The sequence below is a fragment of the Homo sapiens genome, chromosome 13, assembly GCF_000001405.40.
Source record: "Homo sapiens chromosome 13, GRCh38.p14 Primary Assembly".
Lineage (NCBI taxonomy): Eukaryota > Metazoa > Chordata > Mammalia > Primates > Hominidae > Homo > Homo sapiens.
Window position 1 is genome coordinate 88,252,329 of NC_000013.11, and position 15,172 is coordinate 88,267,500.

Here is a 15,172-nt window from a genome sequence, read left to right on the forward strand (position 1 = left end):
GTAATTATAAATCTATAATATAAATTATATAAATATGATAATCATATTTATTACTTGAATTTATTGTAAATTCTGTTCTCTCTTCTAATAATTTGATTCTGTCCCGAATTAATTTTTTAATTATTATGATTAATTTGAGAAACCTGAAGTAATAGTTCACAAAGAAATATAAATATTTAGAAAGTAGTGCTTCCTTATTTGAAATGTGTTAAGTTCAATTTACTTTTAAATTTATTTAGGAGCATACATAGGTTATGTGCATATTTGTTATGCAAATACCCACTTGATTTATTTTAAAATAGGCAAATTTACAGATTTCATGAAAATAAAGTATTAATGACTTTTTAACAGGATAAGAATAACAAGATTAACTTGGGCAGTATTATTGAGAAGCAGCTGGACCAGAATGGAGAGTGAATAAAATGGTGATTCTTACAAGATAAAAACATGTGACTGTTGGATTTATGTAGAAAGAGGAATTTGCAGTAAAATATGGAGACATGATAATAGTCACAAAGAGTCTCTATTTGCCAATCTAGCATGTAGAATCTAAAGGACCATGTAACATTTTGGCAGAAAATCTTGATTGAATAGAGAAATATGTCTAACTTCCAGGATTGAGACAATTCTAAAAGTACATTTCATATGATCTTGGGTTACTCATGTCAATTAAAAAGAATACAATCTTGATATTATAGAAAAGCTTAACATTGTGCATAGAGTACTTTAAGAGTGCTTTAGAATGTATAATTTGGAAAGGGTAAAGAAATGACTGCATGACATCTGGATACCTTTAACCAAGGAAGGTGGGGACAAAAGGCCAAAAATAAGCATTAACAATAAATTGAAATGATAGACTTTGAGATAGCATAAATAAATTAATTAAGTAGCAGTGATATATTCAGATCAACTTGGGTTAATTTACTTTATTAAAAGTAAGATAACAGAGTGAGACCCTCTCAGACTAGAGTGCAGTGGCCTCATTTTGGCTCACTGCAGCCTCAACCTCCTAGGCTCAAGATTTCTCCAGCCTCAGCCTCAGCATTTAGCTGGAACTACAGGCACAGGCCACCATGCCCAGCTCCTTTTTCTCTTTTTTTTTTAAATGAAGAAGTCTAATTATGTTGTCCAGGCTAGTCTGGAACTCCTAGGCTCAAGTGATCCTTCTGGTTTGGCCTCCCAAATTCTAGGGATTATATGCATGAGCCCCATGCCCAGCCAATTTGTCTTAATTTAGACAAATTTTTGATACCGGACTTTAATTAGGTGAAAATAAGCAAAATGGCACTAAATTTGGCAAATAAAAAAATGATAAGAAAAAATAATTTTCAGGATCTTAATGCTGTTGAAGGGCTGATAACTAACAGTACCTTATGTCCTCAAATGCATGGAAAAATCAAATGCCTTTGTACTCAGCAGTGAGTAAGCCATTCTTTTTTTTTTTTTTAATTTGCACAGAGACAGATGCAAAATCTATGTAAATAGATGCATATAATAAGGCAAATTATGTAAGGCACTGGGAGTATTCAACCAATGGCCCTCAGTGGAACTGTGTTTCATGTAGTCAGGAAGTTAGAAGTTTGATCTTTCCAATTAGCTTTTAACATTAAACAGATTGGCCATTGAAATATTTTATTAAACATGCAAGAAAGTAAATTAAATTTATTTATATATGAATACAATCAAACAAGAAGTTTTTAAACTTCTGCATTATGTTGCAAAATGTGTTTTCTGCTTCCAGAGCTCTGCTCTATGTAAGCTATTGCAGCTTTTCCCAACAAAGCTGGGTATTGGAAGTGTGGTGAAAGTGAGAAATTAACTGAAATTTTCTGGGATTGATGAAACGAGAGTTTATGTATGAATGTTTTTGTGGATCACTGCTTTTTAAAATGAGAAAAATAAACCCAAAAGAGATAGCAATATATTAAAAAGTACCTTTCAAAAATAGGTTTAATTATTCCTATTCATTTGTAATTACATTTACTCAGAATTGAGTGATTATGAGCACATATTTAAATGAAGTGATTCTAATTGGAGCTATGAATTTACAATATTATTACCAAATAATGCTATGTTGAAAGGAAAAATGTTTTAAATTACACATAATAAATATACATCAGTCCTTTGAATATGTTGAGGTGTATGAGCTTTCTCAGGTTTCCTGTAAGAATCTCTTAGCAGATCAGTAAGTGATTATAATTCCTCTTTGTCTTCAAAAAGGCTTTGGATCACTGCCGAAATGTTCTTAATACCTAATATTCAGTAAGAACTATAAATCTTAGTTTACATAGCACTCTTTTAATTATGGAAATAAGTTTATAAGAGTTAATATCACAGTAGATAAAAACCTTGAAAATAATTAATTTTCAGCCGTAAACATGTCTGAATTCACATTAGCTTTTATACTTAGTTCTGATCAATTATCAGTAACTTTACATTTTGAGTTTCTTAAACTATTAATGGAAAATTAAAATAATGTACAAGGATAGAGAATCTAGTACAATTCATGTCTAGGCACTCATTACCAGGTTTCAACACCCTTTAAGTGATGTCTTGTTTTGTTTCATTTATATCCCCAATTTATTCTCTACCAAGACTATACCTGAAGACTTTGAAGCTAATAGCAAATATCATATTACTTAATCTATTCATGTTCCCATGTTCTATAATAGATTTTAATAGCTTGAATTATAACATAAAATAAAGCTTATTTATTGTAATCTGTTACTAAGTCTAAATTCTCTCGCTTAATCCAGCAATTTAATCTTCATCTCTCCTTTTTGTCTTTGTATTTATTTGTTGAAGAAACTGAGTCTTGTTCTCTATAGAATTTCTCGCAGTCTGAATTTTGCTGATTGCACTTCTGTTTCCTAACATATTTTATGCTTATTTTTTGTAAATTGTTGGTAATACTGCAATGCACTATCTAATTTAACTTTAAATATTTTTGCAAGAATACTTCACAGGTGAAATTGTGTACTTTCATGATGAGGAAAATCACATCCATTGTCTCTTTTTATTTTGGTAATTTAATTATTATGAGATTAATTGATTTATTAGCAGTTTGAAATTGATGATATTAAAATCTTGTTATTGTTTTCTGATTTAATAGTTGGATTTTCTATATTAAAAAGTTCCTCATTATGTACAATTTGATTATCTTGTGAAAAATGAAAGGTTAAATACTTAATATTTGTCTATAATGGTTAGTTTTCAGAATGAATTGATATCCTAGAATCCTCCAAAATTGATCAAAGTATTTTCATTTCTTAACATAATTATAGATTCATTGATTTTAATGTATTTGATGTGATTCAATATTTTTTGGCTGTGTTCTTACTGATGCTTAATTTATCTCATTGATCATTAGGAATCACTTCAAGTTGTTGCCTGTGTCCTCTTGACAAAATACAAGTAGTGATAGGGTTTTTTCATTATAAAATTAGAAGTCTACCAGGCTCATCTTGAACACACCTTGCCCCAACACATCTCTTAATAGTATTGGTTGCATTGAGGAGGAAATGGCAATGAGAAACCTAAATCTGGATGCTAGGGTTGCTTGTTTCTACTGAATTAATCATCATTTAAAATTGTAAAGGATAGAATTAGGAAATATAGTCTTTACATTTTCAATTAACTTTAGGTCTTAAGAGTTTTTATGCACATTTTCTTTGCTCCAAACAATCACTAATTTGTTTAGCCCATTAACAGAAGTCTGGAGAAACCCAGGTTTGACTGCTGCTGTTAGACGGAAGAGAGAACTCCCCAGAATCGACCTTGTGATCATATTTTTGATTTTCTAATTTGGGGATTTTGGTTTTGATTTTCTAATTTTTTCAGTGTTTTGAAAACACCAAAAGTTTATTTTCTTTCTTGCCTTTCCTTCCACAACTTAGTGAAATCATATGTGTTTTTTGCCAGCTGTGATTTGCCCAATAGTGCTGATTGTGAGAATAGTGAAAATATATTTTCATCTAGTTTTGCTATAGATATTGTCTTTTAGATTTCTGTTTTGCTAGAATAGTCGCTCCGATGTTTTTTAGGGAGGGAATTTTGAAGTATAAAACCTATGTCTCTGCTGTTTTCTTCATCCCTAAACTTTATGTTTGTTTGTTTTGTTTTGTTTTTTATGTTACCCAGGCTGGTCTTGAACTCCTGGCCTCAGCAACCCCTCCTCAACCTCCCAAGTAGCTGGGATTATAAGCATGAGCCATCACAATTGGCTTACTCTTAGATATTCTTAAGGAACATCTAGAAAAGTGAAATTATGAGGGCTTAAACTAGATCATGTCTCCTATTTTTCTTACAATTTCGTGATCAATAGGAATTAAGTGATGAATACAAATGAGAAAATGATTAAAATACTTCTGTATACTGCACGCAATATCAATTAGCTGAGAGTAAAAACAGATTTCAAGTTCTTATTAAGATAAAGCAATCATACTTCACCCTGCCTCTATGCATAAATGTATCTAAAGATCCTCAAAGAAAGAGTGGAGCCACTATCTGAAAATTCTTAATACCAAATTGGAGTAGGTAGATTAGGGTAGAAAACAAATACTTAAACAATAAATAACCCCATGAGTTTCATAGGAATTTTCCCTCTCTGTTATCTTCTGGTCTAGACACAATGGCAGAGCAAATCCTAAAACTGCATATTGAGCACTGACAGAAGCACTTCAAAATACTTTCTGGCTTGAAGTGTGGGATGAGGAGCCACTTTGAGACACAGAGGGTGGAAAGAAACCCTTTATTTTTAATCTTTATGTTATGTGCATGAACCTCATTTCTTCTTTTCTTATTTTATCATAAATGCATATTTAACATTTTCAAAGCTTTTTCAGAGATTATGCTGAAAATAATAATTTATGTCTTTTTTATCCTTCAAGTTATTAATGTGTTACAACATTTTACTAGATTTCTCAAAACTCAAATAATCATACATCCTTGAAATAAATCACAGTTGTTCACAGTTCATAGTATTTTCTTAATGTGGTGCTGGATTCAGTTTACTAATATTAAGTATTTTTGCATAGATATTAATAATGATATTCTGCAGTTTTAATGTTACTATGTTTATCAGGATTAGATATTGATGTTATACTTGCTTAAGAAAAATAAGTACAGAATGTTTTCTTCTTTGTTAATGTTCTATGACAACTTATGATACAGTAAAACTACCTGGAAATTGAACATATGGTAGGAGTTTTCTTAAAAACTTTATAAGCCTGGTGGGTGTTTTTTGGAGGGGAGGGTGTAGCTTTTTAATAGCTCTCTGTATTCTTCTATGTAAAGTTGTTTGTTTAGTCTTTCACAATCTCAAATTCTGTTACCTTCTTTAGCTTTCCTTTTTTATAATCCTTTTCCTTTGGTGGTGATAGGGAGTAGGGAATGCATATTGGTAGATGGCATGCCCATTCTTTTTATTTTGCTCAAACTAACAAATCTCTGAGGTATGAATAAATAACATTTTGGTTCTTATGGTAACTGAAAAATTATTGTCCACCCTCGTCACAGTTGAATGAATGAGCATTTCTTTTTCAATTCACTCTTGTTTTTCTACTGAGTCAGACTGGAGTGTGTGATGGGAGATGTAAATAGCTGCGGTGGCATATGGTCATTTTAAAAAAATATTTGCTGGTTAATGTTTTGTAAGATTACTTTTTCTTATCTTGTTATAAGAGTATAATATATCTTCTTATAATATATCTTCTAATTCCAACGTGGTCCAGGAGCCTCTTTCCCTGCCATGGATCATCAGGCACATGGGTTCTTCCCTTATTTGTCCATTGCACTTCTGGGTAGATTTGTCCTCCTAGGAGCTACTCATCTACTCTCCAGCGTGACTTCTGGGTTCTGCAGGTAAATTAACCACCTATTTCTGTATAGCAAGATAACCTCAGACTTAGAAGTTTACAAAACAAAACATTGTTTCACAGTTCTGTGAGTAGGGAATCCAGGAGCAGCTTAGCTCTGTGGTTGTCTCTCAGTGTTTTCTCATAATGTTGAAGTGAAGCTATCACCCGGGGTGGTAGTCAGCTGAAGACAACTGGGGCTGAAAGATTCACTTCTGTGCTCATTCATGTGGTCGTTTGCTTCGGTTCTTCATATGATGTTAGACTGAAGGACAAAGTTTCTCACTATGCCACATGGGGCTCTCTAGGAGGATGCTCATAGCAAGGCATCTTACTTACCCTAATGTGAGTGACGGGGAGAGAGAGAGGGGAAGAGATCCCAAGATGGAAGCCAATGTCTTTTTATAACCTAGTATTGAGATACCTCAAAATTTCTAGCACGTTTTTTTTTTTTAATAAATGAGCCAATATGTCCACTCCACACTCAAGTGGCTCATTTATAATGAATGCACACCAGGAGATAAGACAACTGGGGCAATCATAGTGGCTACCTTTTCACAGAGGTTGAGGATGTGAGCCTTGAATCACTACCTCTTGGCACTCTTCATGGTAGAGTTCTAGGTTTTTTTTATTGATCATCATGTTATAAAATTAATTTCTTTAGGTTATACTTTCTTCTATTTCTCTTGTTGGTATACTTTATCATTGTTTTTCTATTTTTAACCCTTTTCCCATTTGTCCCAAGAATACTTGCTGGTGGCACTTGCTGGCTGCAGCATTTACCCAGAGATAATTTTGCCACAAAGTATCTCGCTTTTATTATTAAAATGTCAAATGCCAGAAAGTATAGCATTCCTAGGCGTGATGTTAACATCGTTCTCAGTTGCTGGCCAAAGTTTCAAGAGTCTGATTTTTCCAAAATAGATGATTCTGATGGTTCTGATGATTTTGATTTTAGTTCTATTTAGAAATAACTCTAAGGATAGTTTTTATGTTTTATTTTCACATTGAAAATCAGTCAGATTTGCCTCAGCCTCAAAGAGAATGTTTATGTAAAATTAAATCAGCACTGGCAGGTAGCTGCACTTTTTTTTTTTTCTAAATGGGAAAGAGTTAAAAATCTATTTCATTAGCCAGTATGGAAGAAAAGAATTTCTCTAGTTTTAGTTTGCCAAAAGTATTTAGAATATCTCTCACAAATTATTGATACTATTTAAAACTGTCCTTAATTGTAGTACCATGCATGTGCTTGGCAAGTACTCACTGTCAGTACTCGAGTTCCTCCAGCTTTAAGTTTCTCTGATTTCAGTGTTAAAAGTCTGTGATATTATCCACTTTGGAAACCTTGTGAATCAAGAAAGTTATTGGTGACCCACTTTAATATTTAAGTGTCAAACATCTGGCAACTACTTCACAGATTTGTCTGTCAAGACCATTTCCTAGCTGATCTGAGACAGCTGGCTGATTGAAAGTCTGTCCTATATATTATTAACTTCACTCTTTTGGAACCACTTCCCATGACAAACCATGTCCTGTCATTTTCAACCTTCTTTTTGCCATTATGGTTGAAATCTTCTGAATATCTACATGAATATTTCTCTCTGTCAACCTGGAAATATTTTCCATGTGAGACAAGAATCTTGAAATAAAGTTGCTGTGGTGAATATCACAGATCAACTAAATGCAGTTTAATGTATATGGTGTAACAGATTTTAAATGGTAATGGAATAGCATTACATTCAGCACATACAATATAAAAAAAGACAATTTGTTTCATGTTCAAGTATTTTAAGGTACTTTTACATATGTAAGACATTTGTTTTCAGAGTATGATGCTATACTTCAGAAAGAGGTTACTACATTAAACAAATAATGGAAAACAAGGATATGAAAGGTCAATGATTCCTAAAAATGATATTGCAAGACACAGCCTTTGTGTTGTAGAATCTAAGTAGACCCCAACACTTCTTAATTGGTGTTCAGGAAGGGCTTTATAATATTCTTTTACCTCTCTTATTGCAGTAATTATGCTATGGTTTGAATGTTCATTTTGCCTCCAAAATACATATGGAAAGTTAATCACCAATGCAACAATATCAGCAGATGAGGCCTTGGGAAGTGATTAGGGCATGAGAGCGCTAAGCTCAAGAAAAGGATTAGTGCCTAATAAAGGACCATAGGTGCCAAATTAATCTTTCTCTCCTCTCTTCCATTTGAGGACATGACATTTATCCCCTCCAGAAAATGCAACAAGGTGCATCTTGGAAGCAGAGTGCAGCACTCACCGGACAGGAAATCTGCTGATGCCTTCATCTTGGACTTCCCAGTCTCCAGAACTATAAAGAATGCATTTCTTTTCTTATAAATTACCCAGTCTATGATATTCCATTATAGTAGCACAAACGGACTAGGACAACACATAAATAACTCAAGCCAATTTCTCACTTACATTTGTTAAAATAGTAATGTACAAATCCCGGAAACAGTCAACAACAAAATCCCATTTCACAACTCCCTCATCCCTAATACACAATTTCTAACCTATTCTGAAATTGAGAAGTCTTATACTTTGCAAATGGCATGGCAACTTTATGTCCATTTAAAATTGTCTAAATATTTAGTACATTTCTAGAGTCTAGAGCACACAGCTCAGGGCCCTGGTAACATGCAGGCAATCAGACTATAAATTTATTTCTCTTCTTGAACATCCTGCCCTGTTCATCTTCAGTAATCAAATGGGCTTCAATTTGTTCTTTACTATGCTTTCACCTCTTCATGCTCACTTCCAAGTCAACTCTACTCCTTCTCTATTTTGCCCAATACACTTTCTAGTTACATAATCAGATGACTCTAGAAAAGCTGCCCAAGGCTGACCATTCTCTATGTGAATTTTCCAACTACATTGAAAGACCAAACTCAGTATCCCCAACATTGTCCTAACTTAAAGGTATACTTGTAGTGGCACCATATAAACCAGGCAAACTATTTAAAAATGTATCTGGAAGTATTTGGCATTTCCTGGTTATAATTTAAAGGATGTAATTTTGGCATAGGATTTCTGAATAATTGTTATTAGACAGAGTTATTTGTATTTTCCACTACCATTTTTAGAAAGGGAATTTCACTTTGGATAGCGGGTTAGTGTGTGTGTGTGTATGTGCCCATGTGCAGGTGAGGAGGGAACAAACTACTTGATTCTTCCATAAGTTATTAAGTGACCCTTTTTTGGGCCTGATTGTCAAATGAAATTTTCTGCACAATACTTGGAAAGCATTTGCAGGTTTCTGCGTGAGGTGAAGAAAAAAGAACATGAAAATATTGTGGATTCATGAGCTACAAGAAGAATCATGAAACTTTTGAAAAGTTATCAGCCTCATAGCTTGAGTGTGAATGAATTAGTTTTCACAGAAATCAATGAATGGGCTGGATTTTACAGCCAAGACATAATGGAGACAAAAAAGAGCAGGCAGTGATTTACAGAAATTTTGAATCCTTCTTCTGGAGTGCTATACATTCATAAGATTATGATTTGGATTAAGTTTAATCTGATACCTAAATGTCCAAGCGCATAGTTTACATTTGATTTATACAGTAGTACAGTAATGTTAACAAAACTGAATTTTTGTAACAAATTATATATACTTGAGATAGAGAAAAAACTGTTGACTCCTTTTATCATTAAGTTAAAAAAATAATATGGCAGCATATCACTTGTATGAACTTCTGAATGAAGACAATATCTTGATGTACAAATTCTGTTTTTCAACCAAAGGATCATACTTAAGCATATTTAAATATGATGCTCAGTAAAAAGATCTTACAACATTATAATTTGTAATGTTTGAAATGGACATGAAAGTAGAATGCAACATTTGTATCTACATGAGTAACTATCATTTATCTATCTAAAATTTATTAAACATTTGCGAATGAGAGCATGACATTGGAGTCACACTGCTTTGGGTTTGAAATCTGGATCCCATATGTGTCAGGTAAAAACCTTGAAAAAGTTACTTAACCTGTCTGTTTATCAGTTTCTTTATAAGACACAGATCATAATAATATGTACATCAGAGGATCATGGTGATTATAAAATAAATTAACATAAATGAGTTAATAAGGCCTAGGATTTTAGAAGTGTAGTATAAACAAAGTACCTAGTATGCTACTTACAGTGATTATCATTATCTCTTATAACTTTAAGTTAAATTGGCCTTCTTGGTAAATTTCAAACACAATTATATCTGGGTCCACATCAGGAAATTTGAACATACAGTTCATCTGTTTGGAGCTCACTTCCCTCATTTGTTTTCATAGCTTCCTACCTCAGTGCATTCAGGTTTCTTTTTCAAAACATATAAACAGAGATGCCTTGTTAAACTACCCAATCTAAAATTGTCTTTTTTTATTTATTATTTTTCTTCATCTATGTCACCATTTGCTATTGTTACTAAATTTATTTCTAGTTTACCGCCCACTAACATAGAAGTTCCATGAAAAGAGAGACGTGCCTAGTTGCCCCCATTATCTCAGTGTAAACATTTTTTTTCCCTGAAACTGAAACAATAATCTTCCTTTTGTGGAGATGCTGTTAAAGGGTACATAGGGTAATTCATACTAATAGGTTCTCTCATTCTTGCAAACTGTTGTGGAATAATCAATTTAAGGGCAACAACTGAGCTCTTCATAAATTGAGGAAAATTGCCATGCATGAAGGTGTTTTTCCTAACCCCCACCTCTGATTCTACATATTCTTTAAACATATCTCTCAAAAATTTGGAGTTAACATTGTAAATAATATTTATGTATTTCTTTGGGTTTTGAAATTTACTTATGGATCATGTAGACCACTTAAAAATATTTTTAAAAATCTTTAAAGCTAAAGTTGAACATTTGTGACAACTAGGAATATTTGGATACTTTGTGTTTCTCTCCCTCTTTTTATGTCTCTCTATCTCTCTCTGATAAAAGTATGTTTGTGGATAATTTATTTTAAAACTAGACTTTTGGTTATGCCAGATTAATAGTTCCAGAGATCTCTTATAAAGCACATTTCTTGTAGTTAACAATATGGTGTTGTGCACTTCAAAATTTGTTAAATAATAGATTTCATGTTAAGTATTCTAAAAACACACACACATACACACTCGGACACAAGGCAACTTTGGTTGATATTGAACACATCCATTACCTTGATTGTGGTGATGATGGTATTACGGGTGTTTGCATATGTCCAAACTCATTAAATTGTACACATTGAACATGTGAAGTTCTTTGCATATCAACTATATCTCAATAAAGCTGTTAAAATTAAAGCAAATTCAGTATTATTATTTAAACTTATAACTTTCATAGGCACAGAGTAAACAGATAAAGAAATATCTACCAAACAAACGGAAAAAAGCAGGAGTTTCTGTTCTAATTTCAGGCAAAACAGACTTCAAAGTGACAAAGATAAAAAAGACAAAGAAGAGCATTATGTAATGGTAAAAGGTTCAATTCAACAAGAAGACCTAAGTTTTCCAGATTTATATGTACTCAACACAAGAGCACCAAGATTCATAAAGCAGGTTCTTAGAGACCTATGAAGAGACATAGATAACCACACAGTAATACTGGGGGTCATCAATGCTGCACTGACAGTATTAGACAGATCATCCATGCAGAAAACTAACAAAGATATTTGGGACCTGAACTAGACACTTGGCCAAAGGAGCTCAATAGAAATCTCCAGAACTTTCCATACAAAAACAGCAGAATAGATGTTCTTTTCATCTGCACATAGCATATCATCTAAAATCAACCATACATTCAGCAATAAAACAATACTCAGCAAATTTTAAAAAGCCAAAATCATACCAACCACATACTTTCACCATAGATCAATAAAAACAGAAACCAACACAAAAGCTCAAAACCATACAATTACACGGAAATTAAACCTGTTTCTGAATGACTTTTAGAAAAATAATGAAACTAACGCAGAAATCGAGAAATTCTTTAAAACTAATGAGAGCAAAGATACAAGATAGCACAATCTCTGGGACACAGCTAAAGCAGTGTTAAGAGGTTTTATCAAAAAATTAGAAAGATTTCACATTAACAACTTAACATCATTCCTAGAGGAATTAGAAAAACAAGGACAAACCAATTCCAATGCTAGGAGAAGACAAGAAATAACCAAAATTAGAGCCGAAATGAAAGAATTTGAGATACAACAAAACATACCAAAGATCAAGGAATCCAGGAATTTTTTTAAAGAATAAATAAGATTGATTTACTGCTAGATAGACTAATATAGAAAAAGAGAGAAGATCCAAATAAACACAATCATAAATGACAAAGGGGATATTACCACTGACCCTACAGAAATATAAAGTCTCTCAGAGACTACTACAAAAATCTCTATGTACGCACATTAGAAAACTTACAACATATAACCTCCCAAGATGGAAGCAAGAAGAAACTAAATTCTTGAAAAGAAGAATAATGTGTTCCATAATTGAGTCAGTAATAAGAAGCCTACTACCCAGAAAAAAAAAAAAAAAAACAAAAAAACAGAATAAGATGGGTACACAGCTGAATTCTACCGGAGGTATAAAGAAAAGCTGGTACCACACCTACTGAAATTATTCCAAAAACAGACTGAAAAGGAGGTACTCCTCTCTAAATGATTCTCAAAGGTGAGCATCATTCTGATACCAAAACCTAGCAGAAGCACACACACAAAAAGAAAACTTTAGGCCAATATCCTTGATGAACATACATGCGAAAATCCTCAATAAAATACTAGCAAACTGAATCCAGCGTCACATCAAAAAGCTAATCCAACGCAATCAAATAGACTTTATCCCTAGGATGCAAGGTTGGTTCAACATATGCAAATAAAAAAAGTGATTTATTTACATAAATAGAACTACAATCAAATACCACATGATTATCTCCATAGATGCAGAAGAGACTTTCAATAAAATTTGCCATACTTTCATGTTAAAAATCTTCAAAAAAGTAGGCATTGAAGGAACATACCTCAAAATAATTAAAGCCATCTATGAGAAATCTACAACCATCATACTGAATGGGCAAAAGCTAAAAGCTTTCCTCTTGAGAACTGGAACAAGACAAGGATGTCCACTCACCACTTCTATTCAACATAGTACTAGAAGCTCTAGCCAGAGCTATCAGGTAAGAGAAAGAAATAAAAGGCATCCAAATAGGAAGAGAGGAAGGCAAACTATCTCTGTTTGCAGGTAATATAATTTTATACCTAGAAAACCTCATAGTCTCCTCCAAAGAACTCCTAGATCTGATACACAATTTCAGCAAATTCTCAGGATACAAAATCAATGTGCAAAAATCAGTAGCATTTCTATACACCAACAATGTCCAAGCTGAGAGCCCAATCAAGAATGCCATCCCATTAAAATAGCCACAAAAAGAATAAAACACCTAGAAATATAGCTAACCATGAAGGTGAAAGATCTATACAATAATAATTACAAAATACTGCTGAAAGAAAACAGAGATGATGTAAACAAATGTAAAAATATTCCATGCTCATGGAAAGAAAGAATCAATATTGTTAAAAGGTCCATACTGTCCAAAATAATTTACAGATTTAATGCTATTTCTGTCAAACTACCAATGACATTTTTCACAGAAATAGAAAAATATATTTTAAAATTCACATGAAACCAAAAAAGAGCCCAGATAGCCAAGGCAATCAAAGGCAAAAAAACAAAGCTTCAGGTATCATATTTCCCAACTTTAAACTGTACTACAAGGCTACAGTAATCAAAATAGCATAGTACTGTTACAAAAACAGACACCAAGACCAGTGGAACAGAATAGAGAGCCAAGACATAATGCCACACACCTACCACACCATCTGTTTTTATTTTCATCTTTTAATTTTTATTTTTATTTCAATAATTTTGTGGATACAGATGGTTTTTGGTTACATGGATAAGTTATTTCATGGTGATTTCTGGGATTTTACTGCACCCGTCACCAGAGCAGTGCACACTGTAACCAATGTGTACTCTTTTATTTCTTGTCTCCTTCCCAACCTTCTCCATTGAGTCCCTAAAGAACATTATATCATCATGCCTTTGCATCCTCATACCTTAGCTGCACTTATAAGTGAGAACATAAATTTTTTTTTAATTTTTTTATTCCTGAGTTACTTCACTTAGAATAAGGGTCTCCAACTCCATCCAGGTTGCTGCGAATGCCATTATTTTGTTCCCTTTTATGTCTGAGTAGTATCCCATGGTGTATTTGTATGTATGCATACATCACACACACACACACACACACACACACACACATATATATATAATTTTCTTTATTCACTCATTGGTTGATGCACATTTAGGCTGGTTCCACATTTTTGCAATTGTGAATTGTGCTGTTATAAACATGCATGTGCAAGTGTCTTTTTCATATAATGACATCTTTTCCTTTGGGTAGACACCCAGGAGCTGGATTGCTGGATTCTATATTTTGTTCCTTAAAAACCTCCTTACTGTTTTCCATGGTGTTTGTCCTAATTTACATTCCCACGAGCAGGCTAAGAGTGTTCTGTTTTCACCACATCCACACCAGCATCCATTGTGTTGTGGCTTTTACATTATGGCCGTTCTTTCAGGTGTAAAGTAGTATCTCATTGTGGTTTTAATTTTCATTTCCCTGATAATTAGTCATGTTGAATCTTTTCTCATGTTGGCTGTTTGTATATCTTCTTTTGAGAATTTTTCTATTCATGTCCTTTGTCCACTTTTTGATGGGATTATTTGTTTTATTATTGCAGATTTGTTTGAGTTCCTTGTCTATTCTGGATATTAGTCCTTTGTCAGATGCGTACCTTGTGGATATTTTCTCCTGCTCTGTGGGTTGTCTGTTTACTCTGCTAATTATTTCTTTTGCTGTGCAGAAGCTTTTTAGTTTAATTAGCTCTCATTTATTTATTTTTGTTTATGTTTTTGAGGTCTTAGTAATGAATTCTTTGTGTAAGCCAATGTCTAGAAGAGTTTTTCTGAAATTGTCTTCCAGAATGTTTATTGTTTCAGGTCTTAGATTTAAGTCTTTGATCAATTGTATGTTGATTTTCATATAAAGTGAGAGCTGGGTGTCCAGTTTTATTCTTCTACTTGTGGTTTGCCAGTTTCCCCAGGACTATTTGTTAAATAGAATGTCCTTTTCCCAATTTATGTTTTTGTATGCTTTGTCAAGGATCAGTTGACTATAAGTATTTGGCTTTATTTCTGGGTTCTCTATTCTGTTTCATTGGTGTACATGCCTATTTTTATACAAGT

At 33.1% G+C, this 15,172-nt stretch overlaps 1 long non-coding RNA gene across 1 annotated transcript; it reads left to right on the plus strand.

Annotated features, from left to right (window-relative positions):
- The first annotated feature begins 1,420 nt into the window (after positions 1 to 1,420).
- On the plus strand, positions 1,421 to 11,170 carry LOC124903243 (uncharacterized). The gene is made up of 2 exons (XR_007063932.1): positions 1,421 to 5,862; positions 8,074 to 11,170. It is a non-coding gene; the product is annotated as an uncharacterized LOC124903243 (long non-coding RNA).
- Positions 11,171 to 15,172: the final 4,002 nt, after the last annotated feature.